General features: G+C 40.0%; 1 protein-coding gene, 1 long non-coding RNA gene and 1 pseudogene across 3 annotated transcripts in view; 1 reads left to right on the top strand and 2 right to left on the bottom strand.

Annotated features, from left to right (window-relative positions):
• VPS13B (vacuolar protein sorting 13 homolog B) overlaps window positions 1-23355 on the bottom strand; it is an 864307-nt gene that overhangs the window by 171753 nt on the left and 669199 nt on the right. For both annotated transcript variants that reach the window (NM_152564.5, NM_017890.5), the window contains exon 36: window positions 5896-6303. In NM_152564.5, the coding sequence (NP_689777.3) occupies window positions 5896-6303 (408 nt within the window). The remainder of the gene's footprint in view (window positions 1-5895; window positions 6304-23355) is intronic.
• Window positions 7308-9896, bottom strand: LETM1P3 (leucine zipper and EF-hand containing transmembrane protein 1 pseudogene 3; annotated as a pseudogene).
• The window catches only part of LOC124901989 (uncharacterized), a 34027-nt gene continuing 26900 nt past the window's right edge, over window positions 16229-23355 (top strand). The window contains exons 1-2 of the long non-coding RNA XR_007061026.1: window positions 16229-16270; window positions 17837-18018. This is a non-coding gene — a long non-coding RNA (uncharacterized LOC124901989). The remainder of the gene's footprint in view (window positions 16271-17836; window positions 18019-23355) is intronic.

Here is a 23355-nt window from a genome sequence, read left to right as displayed (position 1 = left end):
TCTTCCATATCTCTGAAGTTATTCTCCTATGTATTTTAAAGGCTTCCCTTTGGAATCCAAAACAGCTATAGCAACCACACAGCACTAAAACAAAAATGTACATAAACAACATTTTAAAAATGCACAAGCTATTTATCACAGGACAATGAATATATACCTCAAAATAAAAGATGTAGAATACTGTATTTACATAATTTGGTTAAACAAAACAATACATGACTATGTAAACACGGCTGAGCAGCACATACCTCCTAGTGCTTTTTTTTAAATGTCAAACAGTCATAATTTTTAATCTCCTTTCTTGAGGGTGTCAAAAAAATCTTTTCTAAGGTAGTGGTAATTAATAATGATTAGTGTATCTAATCATATAACAGTTACAGCAAGGAGAATATAATTTGTATGTTGAGATGTCTTCTCCATTTCATATAATTTCTAAGAGGACAGGAGAATTACAGTATCTCATACATTTATGGTTTTTATTCTCGTCATATTAGAAAACATAATATGGGACATTTTTTGAAAAAAGTTAAGATAATTTTACTTGTTCTTCTTATTTCCCAGCCAATTTTTAGAAATTCCTGTTCTACTTTTTGTCGAATGCCTCAAGGTTCACCAGGATATACAGAGATATATCATAGTCAAAAATTATCAGTAATCTACAGGTAATCTAAGGGTGAAAAAAGAAGTACATGCCAGTTTATCAGTAGCAACTTTGAACCTTGTTATAAAGTAATAGGAGGGAATCTGACCAGGATTAATAGTGGTACTCAGTCCTGGGAGGGGAGGTGTCATGTTTCACGGACGGTAGGCCATCTGTTCTTCCCCTCTACATTTTACTTCTGCTAAACCATAAACGCACCTCTACCTCAGGGACTATAGAAAGGCATTAGAATTCTTCTGCTTTTCATTATCACAAGATTCAGTAACTCATTTCATTGTCAAGATAATCCCCTTTTACTCTTTCTTTTGCGCTTGTGGGGTATGCCAAAATGACAAATAAAAACCCAGATGTTACAGACCCAATGAGGTCTCCACCTTTCCTTAAGTGTTGGGTTTAAGCTACTTGGGACATAGTGTCAAAAATGACAGGACCCTGATGCCCACACCCAATATTCATTAAGGTTTGTTAGTGATTTGTATAGCTGTCTACAAGCTGTACTTCCACTTCAATCCTCAGTGGCTGCTTAAAAGTTAAGTTTGTCCTCTGGCTTTAACTGTCAAAGAACTCATTTCCTATTGTTCAGGCATTAGACAGAGATGCTATTTCTTGCTAAAAGTAACAAAAGTCTTTGGGGTGCTGTAATTGGCTGGTTATTGCAACATATTATTTTAGGTAGTCATATCTAATTTACTATTTTATTTCCCCTTAGGCTAACTCGCATCTCTGCAGCATCCAAAGCTTATGACAATGCCTTATAAGATTTTCCCTGGGAGACCCAGTTAACTATAGAATGAAAAGTTGGAGCTCCACTTTTTATCAATTAATGACCTGGTTTCACTTTTCAATACATGAAAAGGAACTTTAGGTTCTTTACATTTTATTGGTCCTGAATTCAGTGAACATGAGAAAAGGCATTTTGTATATGTGAAAAATAATGTGGTTATGCTTTCTCTCTCTACTTTTGTTTATTCAAAAAGATAAGTACATCTGGATGACAGAGCCTGGGGTAGTGAAAGTTACATAAACCATAGTCCTTTGACTAGAAGGAGTTCAACTCACTGGTTTTGGCTTGGGTAAAAAGTCACCCAAGTCCTTATGGACAGGGGATCCTTCTAACTTCTTCCCTATTCTGACTAAAATGCCAACCAAGATGACCTCATTAAGGTTCTTCCCCCAATCTTTTGTGGCACCTAACTTGCTCATATTCTATTTTCCTTTTCCTTATCTACATATATGGAGGCTGCCAATCTAAGTGCCCCGAGAAAGAGCAAGGCAGCCTAAAGTTCAGCTATTTCACAGCTCTCAACTGTGTGCTCGTTTGTCGAAATCTAAGGAGTGCCGCCCAAACAGAGCCATAATTTACTCAGACAAGGGGAGCTAAAGTCTGTAGCTCACTCTCCACCCTGCCTCTGGAAAGTGCTACACTGCAAGTTCGCAATTTATAGCTATATACTTTTGGTTTCTCCAAAGCTACATATTTCAAATGGCAAAAATGATTGCGTTGTATATACACGTAAGGGAAAGGCTTTTTTTCTGTTGTTTTGTTTTCAGAAAATACTATAGAATGGGATGGGTTCAATGAATAGCAAAATAAATATTATCTGCCTTAAAATATTTTAAAATATATGATATAATTTCTAAAGGAGATGTACTTTTAATATAATCATAGGATTTTCAGCAATATTATACACCAACCTTAAAAATACAAGCATTACCTCTACTGAAATCAGAAGTTTTGGGTCATTTTACCAAAGATTCATGAGAGAACATAAGTATTCTAACAGAAATGGGAGTTAGTTTATTCTAAGTCACTGCTATACCAGTATCTGCAGAGTGGAATTAAAAAAAAATCAAATCCTATGAAACTCCCATAGTTTAGGGTTAAAGAATAACATAGGAGGCTAAGAAGAACTGGTAGATATTTTTGGTAAAGTAGAAAATATTTAACCATTTCGTTTCATTCCAAATGATAATAAGAGGAATTCCTTTAACTGCTTCAGTCAATAATTTATAAATATTTAGTTTTATAAATCAGTAAATAAATCTGAAAGCACAGATTTAAATGTATTCGGAATGCCCGGGGGAGAAAATTAACTTACCACTTTTGATCATATTATTTCCTTTCCACATACACTTCCTGTAAGCTTATGACAGTTTAGATGATAAAAACATATAATCATTAGGTGAAATCAAATATTTTTGTACCTTTGACAAAGAAACATATCTAAAACACATTCTCAATGGTGTTTCTCTAAATATTACTTAGCACATAAGATTCCTCTAGCATTACAAATCTATTTCGGCTCCTAAATTAAAACTCATCTGGAAAGGACCGTTTTACCCTGTTTATATAACATTGTCACATAAAGAGTGTTAAAAAAATACTTCACTAAAAATAGCTTGCATAAGTTAGGGATTAGAGTAGTTTCTGCTGCTATAATTGTTCCTTTGTAGTTTTTTCCATGATGTTTTTGCACAGTGTTTTTGACTGTGTTTATTAAAATCAGCACATCAAAAAGGATCAAAGAGAAAGTGAGTGAGAACCGAAGAAACCCCAAGTGTGTTCTCTCATTGGGGAGTTATGCAGATTCACATAAACAAGTGCAAATTGTTGAGGTTTTAATGAAAATTTTCTACAATTATTTTATCTGAAGTCATTCTATACAATAACATCTGTACAGCAGATGGCTGTACTGTACCAAGGCAATGCTCCTTTTTCTTTCGTTTAATAGTACATCTGAGATGACTACTTTTGTCACTGTGCTCAATTTGGTTCAGCAAATAATTCTGAAAAGTGCAGCTGCTGCAGATGGTCACAACAGTTATATAAACTGTAAAATCAAAGACACAGTTAAGTATTTCTGTATTAGATTCAAACTATAAAAATCTGACATCAACTCCATTGAGCTCAAAGATATACTAAAGTATAAAAAATTTCAGTTGAATGTAGAACAATGTTACTTGAAAACTACAAAAAGAAATATGACTACTGGTAGGAGGCTTTTATGTGAGTATATTTGCTTTTTGGTGGTGGTGGATAGTTTTTACCACTTATCAAAATTATACTTTGAATATATGTTTGCATGTATTTTATCCAAATTGCAAAGCATGAATTTTTAAGACATTCAACTACACAATGAAATTAACATTCAAAACTTAAGTTATGTTTTATTTTAAAAATACAGTTAAAATCAATTTTTTTGAAAAAAATATGTGGCAATCTCTTAATCACAATTTTCCAAGAAATCAGTCCTTATAACTAGAAGTTAATAAATCTTATTTCATGTAATTACAGTTTATTATTTTGCTAACCTTGTTATCATCCTAAACTGTTTGAGTATGCATAAAGAAAAAACTGTACTAAAAATAGATTTTGGTGTTCATTATAGTCTCATAACAAAATTGTTACTATTAAGTAGCTAATCTCAACTCTGATTTGACTTGATGCAAATAATTATTTTAAAACATTTGCTGGACACTACATGTTAGAGTTGTATAAAGTATGTTTAGTCAAAGCTATAGTTGCTGTTTTTGTGTTTAACTAGATTTAAGAACAGCATTGTAAAAGGATTAGGGGTATATAGTTTTTCTTACATACAGGGGGAAAAAACAAGTTCCAAAACTAGAGTTTACTAACTTGCACAGCTTAGTGAGAGAAGGATTTTTAATATTTTAGAGGTGTTTCCCAAAGACAGACATCATTAAACATGGATAAAATATGAGTAACTAATGAATAAAAAAAGCAATGAGGATGAAAAAAGAAAAGCACCTAAAAGTGAGTATAGTACGTTTAAATTCTTCCATTTTGTTTGAGTCTTAACCTTTCCCTGCTATGATTGAGGTACAACTGGAAAGGCATGGGAACAGACCTAGTGTTGTCTGGGTTGCAATTTATTTGTGGATAAATCAGATACTGTAGTCTCCAGTATTTCATAGTCTTTCATGACCCATGAACTTTACTTACCTTTTTCACTTGTAACTTTTAAGACAATTAAACAAAATACAGAACTTTTAGTTGGCTTGGTCACGAATATTTCTAGTGAGAAAGAAATAAATCATCTATGTTTTGGCCTAAAATTCAGGCTTCTCAACTATAAAACTTTTCCTTTCTGTTTTAACTACTGTGCCCAACCTGGCTATGTGGAACTAAGTTACAGTAAGTCTACAGCTGCAATTTAATTACTTTTTGATAAGCAACTAAGTTGCATATAAGGATTTGCTTTATCCCCTGCACTATCCCCAATCCCCAATTTCCCCCCACAAATTAAAGAGGGAAAATACATGGTTCCCTTTTGCTACATTTACTTTCAGAGCCAAATTTCTGGCCCTGTGCCCTGAAATTTTACAGTAGCAGTTTCTGTGATTGAAAACTGCTATTTCCCACCTGTGTCTTGCCTTTCCTCTTCCCCTCCTCACAATCCTTCTGCCCACACTTCCCATGCTTTTTGAAAAAGTATATAACAATTTAGTCATGGTAACAGAAGTGGAAAATGTAGATGTCACTGCCAGTTGATTTCTCACATATCCTCCCATCAATGGCAGTCACTTTGCAGAGTCTGTACCCCACTTTGCTAGGCTAGGCACAGAAGCACAGCTTTTCGTTGCCAGGTGTTGCTGCCTGATAAAATGCCTCAACAGCATTCTTGCAAAGTTGAACCTTGGCTTCTGTTACACTTTGTGTAGCATATCTGCCACAACACCAACTTTTCTTTTTTAAGTAAATGGTTACCAGTGACTTAATGCTGTGCATCAGAATCACCTATAGGGCTTGTTGAAGCACAGATTGCTGGGCTCCATGCCCAGAGTTTTGCATTTAGTAGGTCATGGGTGGGGTCTGAGAATTTGCATTTGTAACAATTTCCCAGGTGATGCTGATGCTGCTAGTCCAGAGATCACACTTTGAGAAACACTCTTCTTATGGTTCATAAAACTTGATATACTGTTGTTCCACTATAGCTGTTTTAGGTAAAAAGGAATTTAGGAATTAACAGTTTTAGATACCTGGAAGAACATGCCTCAAGAGGACAGGAACATTTCTGTTTAGACATTACTTAAAGGATTTGTTCTAAAATTATCTCTAAAAATAAGGTCACAAACCAGAAATGTCCTCATCTCTAATGGCCTTTACAACTTTTAACTTCTACATAATATAAATCTTCAAAATGATGCATTTTCAGATGTTAACAAATCATCTTACTTGTTCTGTCTCCCCCCTCCCCTTTTCTGTGACTTACCAGGTACTTTTTGTGTTGCCTTGACACTAAGGCTTCCATTGAGGTTTGAGAGAGATGCTAACAGGCATGGTTTGCTGGTATGGGGTACAGTTTCCATGGAGATCACAATCTGAGTAGTTTGAACAGAAATTTTTTGAAAGCAGGAAACAGCTCTCCACATGTTTTCTTGAGCTGAAATCTTTTGCACTCCATCACCATGAATTTTGGGTTTAGACAACTTTCCACGGTAATATTTGGAGACTGGAAGATCATCCTTATTCACCATGGTGTTGGACATGGCTGAAGTCTCTTCACTATGTGCCAAACTGTGTGCATTTTTTATCTTCTTTAAAAAAAGGTTTATCTGATCCAGTTTGGTGAAACTCAGGTTTGCTTTCAAAGGCTTTGATATATCCAAATTGACATCCGCTATAGAAGTAAAAAAGAGAAAACAATTATTGAAGCTTTCTTACTGAATACAAGCCTTTACTTCTCTGACAAGCTCCTACATAAAAGTGTCCCAAGATCCATATTATGGACTCATTAGGATGCCTGAACATGATATATCTCTTACTCATCACTTAACGATTCTTTCCATGTTGTTACTTGAAGGAGCACTCTCCCTGGACTACTTACATGCCTACATTCCTGGCCAATCCTTGTGACATGTGTGGCCCTGATACATCGAGGGCCACACAAGGATATCAAGGCTGTCAATTTCCACTCTGCCCCTTATAGTCCAAGGCAAAATGAAGCAGGTTTTCCAGTTTGTTACCTATATGAAACTGGCCTTTCTTCAAAAAAAAAAAAAAAAAAAAAAAAGACTTTCCTTACTACCCAGAACCATGTTTGACACAAATAATGGTATTACTAATAAATATTTATCCAAGTATCCCTACAATTCTCTAATTGTTCATGCAGAAAATGTCTGTTTCCCCCTTATGACCTGTTGCAAACCAGAAGAGTCCCTGTACCTTTCCCTACACTCTGCATTGATAAAAGTTCAAATACCTTGCCCAATGTAACATTGGTAGACTGAGATTTCTTTAAATCTGTAGTCCATTTTATATGTACCATATACCACATGTTGTCCTTATTTGTCTCTTACTTACCTGACATGAAAACTAGCTGTATTGTTTTTAACCTTCTTATTTCACCTAAAATCACTCTATTTCTATTATTAATAAGACATAAGACTATAAGCATCAAGACAGAGCATGTCACACATCTTTAAAACCCAGTGCTTAGCACAATGTGTCTTACATATGCATGCATTCAACAAATGTTTGAGCTTAACTGACCCTAACAAGTGCTCATTTCATGACACCCTGAGGATGTAACAGAAGACATAATCCCAAATGAAGCTAGGACTAGCAAAGTTATTAGGCATATTATTATTAAGTTATAAATCATATGTAATATTATTTTTCTGTGTGTGCAGGAAGAGAGATCTATTGACACCAATATCTAGAAATCAAGATTCACAGATGAACAGAGGCATCTTCAGCCCCGAGGAGGCTGGGCTGTGTCTCATGAACCTCTGAGGGTGGGCGCAGCTGACAGCTCTGTGTGGGCAGAGTCCGCGTGGTCCTCATTCTCTTCCCTGGGGGCAGGGCAGCCGAGATGGGAGGACACACACAAGGGGGCACCTTCCTGCCCTAGCCTGGCCCAGTGGCCTCTGGAGTCAGGCAGCTGCAGCAGCTGCACCACACCACAGTGTGGTTCCAACACAATTCTGTGGAGGGGTTCTGGGATTCCAGACTAAGTGAATATCCATGGAATGATGAAAATTAAAATTTACTTGATTATGGAAGTCTCTGATTCATTCCAGCCAATGTATTAGATGAGCCACTGAGAATCACCTCAAAGCAATTGCTCTCACGGCCCTCGCCAGGGCAGTGGGGCAGCAGGAGGACAGGTGGCTAGGCCAGCAGCTCTAGCTCTTCACCTCTGCGGCCTCCTTCTCAGTCTTCTCCTCCATCTTCTCTTCTTTCTCCAAGGTCGCTACAATCTTGGCCACCTGGCTGGTGGAGGCATGAACATCTTTGTCCACCAACTCAATCACATTGATGAGGTCATTGATGTTGACCTTGCCATTCTTGTCTTCATCCAGTGCTGAGGCCAGGCTGGTGAGCTTGCTTTCTGGAATGTGCCTGACTTGCTTCATGGTGCTGATGAGCTCAGTGACACTGATGATGTTCTCCCCTACGGGCGCGCCCTAGGCCAGGCCCAGCTTGCAGGCCCTGGTCCATCTCCAGGTGTGAGATCAAGCCCTCGATCTGCCCGATCATCTGCTGCACCCTCTGTCAGTCTCTTGGTGGCTTTAGATGCTTTCACATATTTTTCTTCACCTACCAGTCTTTGAGAGTTCCTTCTTGATCTCTTGCATGTTCTCGCTGTAGTCCTGCACGTCCTCCTTCAGCAGCTCCAGCTCCTCCTTCTCTTTGGTGAGCGACTTCTGCTCCTTCAGCTTAGAGCAGGCATCGCTGAGGATGTCGATTTCCTCCTTAGTTATCTCCTTCTCCTTCAAGCTCTCTAGCAGGGGGCAGTGTCCTTCAGGGTCTCTGACCACAGGACTGCTTCAGGCACTTCTGGCTGAGGTTAGGCCCCTGGCCTTCGAGGGGTGGCTTCCACACCTTCGGGCGCGACATCCTTCTCCAACTCCGAGCGCTTCTGCAGCTCCTTGTGGTGCTCCTGCTGGATGGCTGCCTCCTCCTGCAGCGTGACCTCCAGCTTTACCTTGTGCACTTGCCCACCCTCCACCTCAGCCACTTTCACCTGCTCTTCCTTTGCCACAATCTCTGGGAGAGTCTGCAGTATGGACTTGAGCTGGTCAGCTGGCAAGAGTTTCTGGGAGGTACATCGTCTGGGACAGGATGAGTAGCGATATGGGAATCTCCTGATGCAGGTGCAGGTCCAGACACTGCTTCAGCTGAGGCGGAGGGCCCACATACCTCACTTCCCACACGCCGGCTGCAGCCCCTTGACGTTCAGGTTGTCCACCCCTCCTCAGCAATCAGCTTATCATTGGCCTTTATGGAGCGCAGTCACATGGTGAGCTGGAACCGCAGAAGTTGTTGATGCCGATGGACTGCAGCTCCAGCAGCTTGCACGGCGCCACCAGCTGCGGCCGTGACAGGTTGTCCAGGGTCAGCTCATTCTCAAATAATTTGGAAAAACGCATGATTTCCTCATTGCTGGGTCTCTCCCCCATCCCCCGGATCTTCTGGGAAAACGGAGAAGTCTGGTGGCACTGCCCTTGGCTGCTATGTTCTTCAAGGTCCTCTCCTCGATGGTGTCCTGGAGGAACTCTGCCAGCTCCAGGTTGACCCGAAGCTCCTTCAGGCTCTCCTCCTTGATGGACTGGGTCTCAAACGTGGATGCTGGCATGCTGGGGAAGAGCTTCATGGTCACGGGCGGCAGGAATTCCATGAACTGGACAACCACGAACACAAGGAACGGCACCAAGCGGAGGAGGTCGGCGCGGATCCGGAGAAACTGCCTGCGCTTTGCCTGGTCAGGGTGTGGCTGTCAAGGATGTGCCACAGCATGAGCACCACGATCTTGGCATGGATCCACAGCAGGCAGAAGCCAAGGCAGTAGCGCTTCAGCTCATCCAGCTCCCTCTGCCCGAGCGACTTATTCACCACCACCTCTGTGGGGTGGGGGTGTACACTTGGCCGCCTTCCTCAAGCTTCTTGTTCTTGTCCTTGAAGGACTTGAGGGACTTCTCTACTACCAAGTCATCAGAGACACGGCGTGAAGAGTGCCAGCTGTGCACAGGAAGGCACCGAGGTCCCGCAACCATAAAATCCACTGTGGCAGAGGTCCATGGCACTCTCGCCACCGTGCGTGGGCACTTCTGCCTCAAGGCCTAACAGCCATGGCGATCGCCTCTGAAGGAAGGGTACACGGGGTGGACCGGAGTGCAACAGCCAAATGGAACATTTGCTCCACTCCTCAACCCCAGGATGTTGGCACAGGTGAGACAAGCAGCAGTTGGACTTCTGGGTGGACTACCCAGAAGTTCTCATCAAGGCTTCATGATTGATTACAGCATTCACTCATACTTAATATTCTACATCTTCATGAGCAGGGCCCCTTCTCACCTTCCTCAGACATCAGGATCTTTGGCTTCGCTCCTGGATACCCAGGCTCTCTCAGGGTCCCATCCCTTGTAAGTGTTCCTTCCTTCATGTGGGGACACTGTATTTTCTTTTTTTTTTTTTCTTGGTATGGAGTTTTTTTTTTTTTTATTATACTTTAAGTTTTAGGGTACATGTGCACATTGTGCAGGTTAGTTACATATGTATACATGTGCCATGCTGGTGCGCTGCACCCACTAACTCGTCATCTAGCATTAGGTATATCTCCCAGTGCTATCCCTCCCCCCTCCCCCCACCCCACCACAGTCCCCAGAGTGTGATATTCCCCTTCCTGTGTCCATGTGATCTCATTGTTCAATTCCCACCTATGAGTGAGAATATGCGGTGTTTGGTTTTTTGTTCTTGCGATAGTTTACTGAGAATGATGTTTTCCAGTTTCATCCATGTCCCTACAAAGGACATGAACTCATCATTTTTTATGGCTGCATAGTATTCCATGGTGTATATGTGCCACATTTTCTTAATCCAGTCTATCGTTGTTGGACATTTGGGTTGGTTCCAAGTCTTTGCTATTGTGAATAATGCCGCAATAAACATACGTGTGCATGTGTCTTTATAGCAGCATGATTTATAATCCTTTGGGTATATACCCAGTAATGGGATGGCTGGGTCAAATGGTATTTCTAGTTTTAGATCCCTGAGGAATCGCCACACTGACTTCCACAATGGTTGAACTAGTTTACAGTCCCACCAACAGTGTAAAAGTGTTCCTATTTCTCCACATCCTCTCCAGCACCTGTTGTTTCCTGACTTTTTAATGATTGCCATTCTAACTGGTGTGAGATGATATCTCATAGTGGTTTTGATTTGCATTTCTCTGATGGCCAGTGATGATGAGCATTTTTTCATGTGTTTTTTGGCTGCATAAGTGTCTTCTTTTGAGAAGTGTCTGTTCATGTCCTTTGCCCACTTTTTGATGGGGTTGTTTGTTTTTTTCTTGTAAATTTGTTTGAATTCATTGTAGATTCTGGATATTAGCCCTTTGTCAGATGAGTAGGTGGTGAAAATTTTCTCCCATGTTGTAGGTTGCCTGTTCACTCTGATGGTGGTTTCTTTTGCTGTGCAGAAGCTCTTTAGTTTAATTAGATCCCATTTGTCAATTTTGGCTTTTGTTGCCATTGCTTTTGGTGTTTTGGACATGAAGTCCTTGCCCACGCCTATGTCCTGAATGGTAATGCCTAGGTTTTCTTCTAGGGTTTTTATGGTTTTAGGTCTAACGTTTAAATCTTTAATCCATCTTGAATTGATTTTTGTATAAGGTGTAAGGAAGGGATCCAGTTTCAGCTTTCTACATATGGCTAGCCAGTTTTCCCAGCACCATTTATTAAATAGGGAATCCTTTCCCCATTGCTTGTTTTTCTCAGGTTTGTCAAAGATCAGATAGTTGTAGGTATGCGGCGTTATTTCTGAGGGCTCTGTTCTGTTCCATTGATCTATATCTCTGTTTTGGTACCAGTACCATGCTGTTTTGGTTACTGTAGCCTTGTAGTATAGTTTGAAGTCAGGTAGTGTGATGCCTCCAGCTTTGTTCTTTTGGCTTAGGATTGACTTGGCGATGCGGGCTCTTTTTTGGTTCCATATGAACTTTAAAGTAGTTTTTTCCAATTCTGTGAAGAAAGTCATTGGTAGCTTGATGGGGATGGCATTGAATCTGTAAATTACCTTGGGCAGTATGGCCATTTTCACAATATTGATTCTTCCTACCCATGAGCATGGAATGTTCTTCCATTTGTTTGTATCCTCTTTTATTTCATTGAGCAGTGGTTTGTAGTTCTCCTTGAAGAGGTCCTTCACATCCCTTGTAAGTTGGATTCCTAGGTATTTTATTCTCTTTGAAGCAATTGTGAATGGGAGTTCACTCATGATTTGGCTCTCTGTTTGTCTGTTGTTGGTGTATAAGAATGCTTGTGATTTTTGTACATTCATTTTGTATCCTGAGACTTTGCTGAAGTTGCTTATCAGCTTAAGGAGATTTGGGGCTGAGACGATGGGGTTTTCTAGATAAACAATCATGTCGTCTGCAAACAGGGACAATTTGACTTCCTCTTTTCCTAATTGAATACCTTTTATTTCCTTCTCCTGCCTGATTGCCCTGGCCAGAACTTCCAACACTATGTTGAATAGGAGCGGTGAGAGAGGGCATCCCTGTCTTGTGCCAGTTTTCAAAGGGAATGCTTCCAGTTTTTGCCCATTCAGTATGATATTGGCTGTGGGTTTGTCATAGATAGCTCTTATTATTTTGAAATACGTCCCATCAATACCTAATTTATTGAGAGTTTTTAGCATGAAGGGTTGTTGAATTTTGTCAAAGGCTTTTTCTGCATCTATTGAGATAATCATGTGGTTTTTGTCTTTGGCTCTGTTTATATGCTGGATTACATTTATTGATTTGCATATATTGAACCAGCCTTGCATCCCAGGGATGATGCCCACTTGATCATGGTGGATAAGCTTTTTGATGTGCTGCTGGATTCGGTTTGCCAGTATTTTACTGAGGATTTTTGCATCAATGTTCATCAAGGATATTGGTCTAAAATTCTCTTTTTTGGTTGTGTCTCTGCCCGGCTTTGGTATCAGAATGATGTTGGCCTCATAAAATGAGATAGGGAGGATTCCCTGTTTTTCTATTGATTGGAATAGTTTCAGAAGGAATGGTACCAGTTCCTCCTTGTACCTCTGGTAGAATTCGGCTGTGAATCCATCTGGTCCTGGACTCTTTTTGGTTGGTAAACTATTGATTATTGCCACAATTTCAGAGCCTGTTATTGGTCTATTCAGAGATTCAACTTCTTCCTGGTTTAGTCTTGGGAGAGTGTATGTGTCAAGGAATGTATCCATTTCTTCTAGATTTTCTAGTTTATTTGTGTAGAGGTGTTTGTAGTATTCTCTGATGGTAGTTTGTATTTCTGTGGGATCGGTGGTGATATCCCCTTTATCATTTTTTATTGTGTCTATTTGATTCTTCTCTCTTTTTTTCTTTATAAGTCTTGCTAGCGGTCTATCAATTTTGTTGATCCTTTCAAAAAACCAGCTCCTGGATTCATTGATTTTTTGAAGGGTTTTTTTGTTTCTCTATTTCCTTCAGTTCTGCTCTGATTTTAGTTATTTCTTGCCTTCTGCTAGCTTTTGAATGTGTTTGCTCTTGCTTTTCTAGTTCTTTTAATTGTGATGTTAGGGTGTCAATTTTGGATCTTTCCTGCTTTCTCTTGTGGGCATTTAGTGCTATAAATTTCCCTCTACACACTGCTTTGAATGCGTCCCAGAGATTCTGGTATGTTGTGTCTTTGTTCTCACTGGTTTCAAAGAACATCTTTATTTCTGCCTTCATTTCGTTATGTACCCAGTAGTCATTCAGGAGCAGGTTGTTCAGTTTCCATGTAGTTGAGCGGCTTTGAGTGAGATTCTTAATCCTGAGTTCTAGTTTGATTGCACTGTGGTCTGAGAGATAGTTTGTTATAATTTCTGTTCTTTTACATTTGCTGAGGAGAGTTTTACTTCCAACTATGTGGTCAATTTTGGAATAGGTGTGGTGTGGTGCTGAAAAAAATGTATATTCTGTTGATTTGGGGTGGAGAGTTCTGTAGATGTCTATTAGGTCCGCTTGGTGCACAGCTGAGTTCAATTCCTGGGTATCCTTGTTGACTTTCTGTCTCGTTGATCTGTCTAATGTTGACAGTGGGGTGTTAAAGTCTCCCATTATTAATGTGTGGGAGTCTAAGTCTCTTTGTAGGTCACTCAGGACTTGCTTTATGAATCTGGGTGCTCCTGTATTGGGTGCATATATATTTAGGGTAGTTAGCTCCTCTTGTTGAATTGATCCCTTTACCATTCTGTAATGGCCTTCTTTGTCTCTTTTGATCTTTGTTGGTTTAAAGTCTGTTTTATCAGAGACTAGGATTGCAACCCCTGCCTTTTTTTGTTTTCCATTTGCTTGGTAGATCTTCCTCCATCCTTTTATTTTGAGCCTATGTGTGTCTCTGCATGTGAGATGGGTTTCCTGAATACAGCACACTGATGGGTCTTGACTCTTTATCCAACTTGCCAGTCTGTGTCTTTTAATTGGAGCATTTAGTCCATTTACATTTAAAGTTAATATTGTTATGTGTGAATTTGATCCTGTCATTATGATGTTAGCTGGTGATTTTGCTCGTTAGTTGATGCAGTTTCTTCCTAGTCTCGATGGTCTTTACATTTTGGCATGATTTTGCAGCGGCTGACACTGTATTTTCTTATCAGGCCTAACAAAACTCTGAGTCTTGTTTACAGCTAGTTGTGCATTGGAAAGGGTCAGAAACTTGAGTCACCCGTGCACAATACTAAAATGTTCCTTTCTCCCCATGTTTTTAAACAGGAAAAACACCTTAATGTAAAGGAATTATTTTTTAAAACACCTTATTGACATATAACTCACATGCCACAAAAATTACCTTTCAATAGCATACAATTTATTGTTTTTAGTATACACAAGTTTGTGCAACCATCACCACTGTCTAATCCCAGAACATCATAATCAACACACACACACACACACACACACACAGTATCCCATACTACTGAGCAGTCACTCCTCACTCATGCTCCCCTCCAGCCCCAAGAAACCACTAATTTTCTTTCTGTCTCTATAGATTTGCCTATTCAGGACATTTCATAGAAATGGAATCATATAATATGTGATTTTTGTACCCGGTTTCCTTCATATAGCATAATGCTTCCAAGGTTCATCCATGTTGAAACATGTATCAATACTTCATTCCATTTTGTGGCTGAACAGTATTACAACATAAGCATATATCACATTCTGCTTATCCATTATCAGTTAATAAACATTTGGGTTGTTTCCAGTTTTTGGTGATGATGAATAATGCTGCTATGAATATGTGTGTGCAAATTTGCTTTTTAATTTTCTGAAATATGTACGTAGCAGTGGAACTGCTAAGACATATTTGACTGCAGTTATCCTAGTGAGCGTGAAGGACTATCCCATTGTGATTTTGATTTGTATTTCCCTAATTACTAATGATGTTCAGCATTTTTTCATGTGCTTATTGACTGTATATATTCTTGGAGAAATATCTATTCAAACCCTTTGCTCATTTTTAAATTTGGTTATTTGTCCTTTTATTATTGAATTGTAGGAGTTCTTTTTATATTTTGGATATAAAATATAAGATTATTATATTTGATATATATAGATACATGATTTGCAAATATCAGATATATCATATCAGATATATACTTTGCAAATATTGTATCAGATATATGATTTGCAAATATTTTCTCCCATTCTGTGGATTATCTTCACTTTTTTGCAGCACAAAACAGTTTAATTTTTGCAAAGTCCAATATGTTTGTTATTTTGCTTGTGCTTTTGGTGTCATACCAAGAAACCATTGTTTAACCCAAAGTCACAAAGATTTACACCTATGTCTTCTTTTAAGAGTTTTACAGTTTTATCTCTTAAATGTAAGTCTACGATCTTTCCTGAATTAGTGCTGTGTGTATACTGTATGAGGTAGGGGTTCAACTTCATTCTTTTATGTGTGGATATCTAGTTATGTCAGCAACATTTGTTGAAAGGCATTATTTTTATTTTTGACTTGTAGAATTTGGGGTACTGGAAGAGGCTGGTGGGAAAAATATTTTAGATAAATTGGATGGCTAAAATGACTCACACATTTGCCTCTGCATCCCTGTATGTGGGCTTCCAAATTCTATGACCTCACAGAAAATAATACCTTTAACAACAATAAAAAAAAGGTGCAATTTTAACAGATGATCATTAGAACAAAAACAAAACAAAGCTAAAGTAGAAAGAAGACTCAGATGTTCGATCCTGAAACTGTCTTTTTCTTGGGTGTATAAAATGAAAACTAAAGAAGGGTCAGAAGTACTCATTCTGTAGAAACAATTTAGTAACCTACCCAGGAGGTTGCCCAAATATCCACATAAACCAACTGCTGAACCTAAGGGATCCATTTTCCCTGACTGCAGACTGGCAAAGCATCCATAGAGAGGTAAATACTAAAGCTGCTGATTGCTACCCTCATATCTCAGGCACCATTGTGGTCCCAGGGACACAGAAAAAAACTATTTATAACTCTGGCTGCTTGCTTAACTTGTCTTTCTCTTTTTTCAATAGATTGGATCCCATTATGTTGCCCAGGTTGGCCTCAAACTCCCAGGCTCAAGTGATCCTCCCGCCTCAGCCTCCTAAGTAGCTGGGACTACAGGTGTGCACCACTGTGCCAAGCGCTAACTTTTTTTTTGAGACTCAGACTTTGGATCACTTTGGCCAGCACACCCTTCTTGACCCTTGTTGATGAGTGAGGTGCCTCTCATCATTACTTTTGGAATATCCTGTGCATTTTGCCATTACCAGGCACCTACTGATATTATTTTTGTAGTTACCTACTTAGGTATCTGTCATAGTTCAGTGAGCTGTGAGCTCCTGGACTGTCCTATATTTTAATATTCTAAATACCTAAACTACTGTTTGATCTACAGGAAGTACTAACTGAATGCTGAAGGAGGTAAAAATATTTCATTTCAAAATATGGTTCCCAGTTGTGATGAGTATTTTAAATTAAAAACTCTTAGAGATTAACAAGTACTAGAAGAGACATTTCTGCTATCTATATAAAGATGAAACCGCCCCACCAAGGAGAACAATTGTTCTTGTTCCCCTCTTTATTATCTCATTATTCTTTACCGGAAAGAAGACCAAAAATGTAACCACACCTGAACAGTCCCTTTTTCAAGATAGTGACTATCCCAAGGTCATTTAAGTTACAAAGATAACTATTTACAAGTTATTCTCTGCTCTCTGATCCAGTCATTCTCCCTAGTAATCATTTATTGCCCCTCAATAGAATTTCTGTTCTATCCCTTCCCATAACCTGTTTTACCAGGATCCAAGCCTCATTCTTTCTGTGACCTCGAGATGATATATAAGCTTCTGTACCTTGTTGGGATGCTGGATGTTCACGCTGAAGGCTCCCATGTATATACATTACATACATTTGTATGGCTTTTCTATTAATCAATCTGCCACATGTCAGTGATTTTCAGATAACCTTTAGGGGGCCAAAAGCCTATGGCCCCACAATGTTTAATGATGTAATGAAGAAAATATGAGTGAATGCAAGTCTGTCGCCATTTTCTCCTGAACTCTCACAGGCTCGTCAAATTAATTTATCCAAGCAATCCATTAACTCCTCTCAGACATGCTGTATTCCCTGTCTTAGTTAATGGTTCTATAATCCACCAAGTGGCTTTAGTCAGAAATCTGACTTTTTGACTCCTCATTTCATTCCCTCTTTATCTGGTCCCAAGCCAAAAACTGATTAAGTTCTGTCAATTTTAGTTCCAAAACATTGCTTGATTCCAATCCCCTTCTCTCCAGCATTCCATCCAGTCCCTATTTTCCTCCACCATGTTTTTGATATCGTTCAGTTATTATAAAGCCTCCTAAATGGTTCCCCTGTCTAGACCAATTGTCTTTAGATTTAATCTAGTCTCCACAGAGTGATTTCCAAATAATTTGTTTTAAATGCAATTCTGAGTGGCTCACTCCTGTTTAAAACTCTTTATTGCCTCCTCCTTACCTAAGAAACAAAAGAACAAGCTCCTCAGATAAAAAAAAAAAAAAAAAAAAGCAAGCAAGGAAGCAAGAAAGAGTTCTTGCCTTTCCTTATAATATCTGAGTTTGCAGAGCCCACTTCCCCCAACCCATGCTGTTATATCACTAGGCCTTGTTCATATTGTTCCCTTTATCTAATGTACCCTTTCTTTGCCAGTTTAATCATTGGGATACTGCTTCAGCATTTTCTCCAAGAAGTTCATTCACAAGGCTAGGCCAAGAGGGAGGCAGAGCAAGACAGCTGGATAGAAGCCTCCACCAATCACCCTGCTCACAGCAACACCAAAATGAACAATTATCCATAAAAAAAAAAGGAACTTAACAAGAACCAAAAGTCAGGTAAGCAATCACCGTACCTGTTTTTAACTTTGTATCACTGAAAGAGGTACTGAAGACGGTAGGAAAGACAGTCTTGAACTGTGGATGCCAACCCTATTCCATCTCCGCAAGGGTGGCTGTGTGGCACAGAGAGAGAATCTGTGCATTTGTGGGCGGGAGAGAGTAGTGATTGTGGGACTTGGCATTGGAACTCATGCTGCCCTGTTACAGTGGAAATCAATACCAGGCAGAGCTCAGCTGGTACCCACAGAGGGAGTATTTAGACCATCCCTAGCCACAGGAGAACCATCCTGTGGGCAGAACCTGAGTTCTGGCAAGCCTTGCCACTGCAGGCTAAAGTGCTCTGGGGTCCTAAATAAACCTGAAAGGCAGTCTAGGCCACAAGAACTGCAATTCTGGGTTAAGTCCTGGTTCTGTGCTGGGCTAGGAGCCAGTGAACTTGGGGGGCATGCAATCCAGTCAGACACCAGATGGGGCAGCTAAGGGAGTGCTTGTGCCACCCCTCCTCCAATCCAGGCAGCACAGCTCGCAGCTCTGGGAGAGGAGAGGGAGAGTAAAGGGGACTTTGTCTTGCAGCTTGGATACCAGCTCAGCCACAGCAGGATAAGGCACCAGGCAGAGTCCTGAGGCCTCCATTCTAGTCCCTAGCTCCCAAATGACATTTGTAGACACACCTTGGGCCAGAAGGGAACCGTGCCTTGATGAGAAGGACCCAGTCCTTGCAGGATTCATCACCTGCTGACTGAAGAGCCATTAGGCCTTAAATAATTAGCAGTAGCACCCAGGCAATACTCACCATGGGCCCTGGGTGAGACACTCAAAGATATGCTGGTTTGAGCTGTGACCCAGCACATTCCCAGCTGTGATGGCTATAGGGAGGGATTCCTGCTTGAGAAAAGGAGATAGAAAAGTGAAGGGTAGTTTGTCTTGCAGCTTAGGTACCAGCTAGCCCACAGTGGGAAAGAGCACCAAGTGGGTTCTTGGGATTCCCAATTCCAGGCCTTGGTTCTTGGATGGCATTTCATTTCTGGGCTGCCCTGGGCCAGAGGGGAGCTCATTGCCTTGAGGAGAGTCTCAGGCCTGGCAGCATTCACCACAAGTTGACTGAAGAGCCCTTGGACCTTGTGGGAACATCTGTGGTAGCCACGTAGCACTCGCTGCAGGCCTGGGATGGTGGTGGCCATGGGGAGAGACTCCACTGCTTGTGGAAAGTGGAGGGAGGAGTGGGAAGGACTTTTTCTTGTGTGTGGCTTGGGTGCCAGCTCATTCTCAGTAGAATGGAGCACCAAGTAGATTCCTAAGGTTTCTGACTCCAGGCCCTGGCTCCTGGACAGCATCTCTGGATGTACCTGGGACAAGAGAAATTTCACTGCCCTGTAGGGAAGGACACAAGCCTGGCAGGTTATAGAGCCCTAGGACCTTGAGTGAACACAGGCGGATAGCCAGGCAGGGGTTATCATGAGCCTTGGGTGAGGCCCAGTGCTGTGTTGGCTTCGGGTATGACTCAGCACAGTGGCCACCAGCATTGTGGTGGCCACGGTGCTTGTGTTACCTTCCTTAGCCCCAGCTCCAGGCAGCTCAGTACAGAGAGACTCTATTTGTTTGGGAGAAAGCAAAGGAAGAAAACAAGAGTCTCTGCCTGGTAATCCAAAGAATTCTTCTGGATCTTATCCAAGACCATCAAGGTGGCACCACTGTGAGTCTGCAAGAGCCACACAGTTACTGGGCTTTGGGTGCCCCCTAATGCAGATATGGCTGCAGTGACCAAAAACTTAGATCACAACACCCAAGTCTCTTCGTATACCTGGAAAGCCTTCCTAAGAAAGACAGGTACAAACAAGCCCAGACCATGAAGACTATAATAAACACCTAACTATCCAATGCCCAGACACTGATGAACATCCACAAGCATGAAAACCATCCAGGCAAACATGACCTCACCAAACAAACTAAGGTACCAGAGACTAATCCTGGAGAGATAGAGATATGTGACCTTTCTTTCAGACAGAGAATTCAAAATAGTTCTTTTGAGGAAATTCAGCAAAATTCAAAACAATGCAGAGAAGGAATTCAGAATCCTGTCAGATAAATGTAACAAAGAGATTGAAATAATTTAAAATAAGCAAAAATTCTGGAGTTGAAAAATGCAACTGATATACTGAAGAATGCATCAGAGTCTCTTAACAGCAGAATTGATCAAGCTGAAGAAAGAATTAGTGAGTTTGAAAATACACAATCAGAGGAGACAATGAGAATGAATGGGTGGTCCCTAGGGCTTAAGGCAACCCTTGGACAACAGCTAATAAGGAACTGGAGACCTCAATATTAAAGCCACAAGGAACTAGATTATGTGAATAACTGGAATAAGTTTGAAAGTAGATTCTTTCCAGGAGCCCCCAGATTAGAACCCAGGCCAACTAACAGTCTGATTTTGGCTTTGTGAGACCCTGAACAGAGAACCAGCTGAACTCACCTAGACTTCTAACCATAGAATTGTGAGATGATAAATTTGTGTTGCTACATTTGTCGTAATTTGTTATGCATCAATAGAAAACTAATACAAATTCCATATGCATATTGCCCACATGGCATTTCCAGTTTCAAAAGCAATTAAAATGAAGTTTCAAGACCTAGGTATATTTATTGAAGTTTTGTTTATCTCTTTCCTGAAAGGAAAAATATCTAATATATCTTAAAAACATCTAATGGGGCCAGGCGCGGTGGCTCATACCTGTAATCCCAGCCCTTTGGTAGGCCAAGGCGGGTGGATCACAAAGTCAGGAGTTCAAGACCAGCCTGGCCAAGATGGGGAAACCCCATCTCTACTAAAAATACAAAAAATTAGCCAGGTTGGTGGCAGGTGCCTGTAATCCCAGCTACTTGGGAGGCTGAGGCAGAGAATTGCTTGAACCTGGGAGGTGAAGGTTGCAGTAAGCCAAGATCGTGCCACTGCACTCCAGCCTGGGCGACAGAGCAAGACTCTGTCTCAAAACAAAAAACAAACAAACAAAAAACCCAAAAACCAAATAAACATCTAATGATGTCAGTTGCCTACTCTTTCTTTTTAAAAATTATTTCAGAGTTCTAGGAATGATGGAACCTGTCTCTTCCACTGAATGCAGTTACAAAATCTGGCAATAAACCAGCTATAAAACCTACACAGAGCAGCTATTTGAGAATTTTGAAAAGTATATGGTAACAGGTAGACTAAGGAAGAAGACTAGAATTCAAAATACTACCAAAATGGTGATGAGTTTCTAATTTTTCCTCCCCTACCCCCTTATCCTAGACTAATGGCAGCCCAAAGCCCAGAAGTGGATATCATGTGGAGATAGAGAGAGTTCAAGGAGAAGCCCTCTATTTCTGGCTTCAAGGAGTGTGAAGGAGTCTCTTAATGCTCAGAGGGACTAGGGAAATCTATTGTTTTCCTTCTTTCTTTTCTTCATTCCCCTGTCCTCCAGGAAATAGAAGAGGAGAGAATACTTCTTAATTCATTTTATGAGACCATCATTACCGATACTAAAAGTAGATGGAGAAAGTATAAAAAACAATATACATGGATATTCCTCAAGAAGAGACATAAAAATCCTCAAAAAATGTAGCAAATCAAATCCATCAGCATACAGAACTAATGATGTACCACAACTAAAACAGGGGTTGTCCTAGGACTATAAGCCTTGATCAATCAATGTAAAAATATTAACAGTTTACAACAATAACAAAGATACTATCAATTGATGCAGAAAACATTTTTGAAAAATTCAATATCCATTTATAATAACTCTAGGCAAACTATTGGTAGAGGGAAACTTAACCTGATGAAGGCTATATATGAAAAGCCTACAGCTAACATCATAATTATGAAGAAATGAATGCTTTCCCCCTAAGAACAGAAACAAGGCAAGGATGTCCCTTCTTATTATTCATACTCAACATAGTATTGGAAATCATAGACAGTGCAACAAGGCAAGATAAAAGGGCATAAATAACAAAGAAAACGATGCCCATTTGCAGATGACGTAATTGTCCATGTTGAAAACCCAATAAGAATCTACGGAAAAGCTCCCAGAATTAATAAGTGAGTTTGGCAAAGTTTTAGAATACAAGATCATCACACAAAAATCAATTGAGTTTCTATAAACTAACAATATGCAGGTGGAAAACAAAAAAGCCTTAAAATAAAAGATAGTATTTATAACATATCCAAATAAAAGGAACACAGGTATAAATCTAATCAAATGGTCATAGGATCTGTATGCTGAAAACTACAAAATGCTGACAATAAATTTTAAAAGACCAACATAAATAGAGAGACATACCATACACATACCATATTCATGAATTCGAAGGCAGACAACATAGTAAATATATCAGTTTCTCCCAGATCTGTAGATTTCACAGAATTCCAATAATCCCAGAAATATTTATTTTAAATATAGAAAAGCTGATTCTAAAATTTACATAGTAAAGCAAAGGAACAAGAATAACCAAAACATTTTTGAGAAAGAATAACAACATTGGAGGACTCAAACTACCTGATTTTAAGACTTACTATCAGCTATTAAGATCAAGACAGTATAGTTTTGGAGAGGGTATATGTACCTCAGTGGAACAGAACAGAGTCCAGAAATAGGGTCCAAAGAATTATTAGTTGATTTTTAAAATAGGTGCAAAGACAGTTCAATGGAGAAAGGTAGTTTACAGATGGTGTTGAATATCTGTATACAAAAAAAAGTACCTTAAACTCAACTTCATACTGTATATAAAAATTAACTCAAAATGAATCCTGGATTTAAATATAAAATGTAAAATTAGAAGGTCTTCAAAGAAGAAAACATAGGAGAAAATCTTCAAGTCCTAGAGTTGTGGCTTGGGTGTCAGCTCATTCTCAGTAGAATGGAGCACCAAGTAGATTCCTAAGGTTTCTGACTCCAGGCCCTGGCTCCTGGACAGCATCTCTGGACGTACCTGGGACTGGAGAAATTTCAGTGTCCTATAGGGAGGGACACAAGCCTGGCAGGTTATAGAGCCCTAGGACCTTGAGTGAACACAGGCGGATAGCCAGGCAGGGGTTATCACGGGCCTTGGGTGAGGCCCAGTGCTGTGCTGGCTTCAGGTATGACTCAGCACAGTGGCCACCACAATGCTGATGTTACCTTCCCTAGCCCCATCTCCAGGCAGCTCAGTACAGAGAAACTCTGTACTGAGTCTCTTATACATGATACCAAAAAGGCATATTTTAAAAATTTATAAGTTGGTCTTCATCAGATTAAAAACTTTTCCTCTGTAAAGGGTAGTGTTAAGAGAATGAAAAGAGAAGCTATGTACTGGGAGAAA

The sequence above is a fragment of the Homo sapiens genome, chromosome 8 (genome assembly GCF_000001405.40).
Source record: "Homo sapiens chromosome 8, GRCh38.p14 Primary Assembly".
Classification (NCBI taxonomy): domain Eukaryota; kingdom Metazoa; phylum Chordata; class Mammalia; order Primates; family Hominidae; genus Homo; species Homo sapiens.
This window is presented reverse-complemented; position numbering and strand designations above follow the sequence as displayed.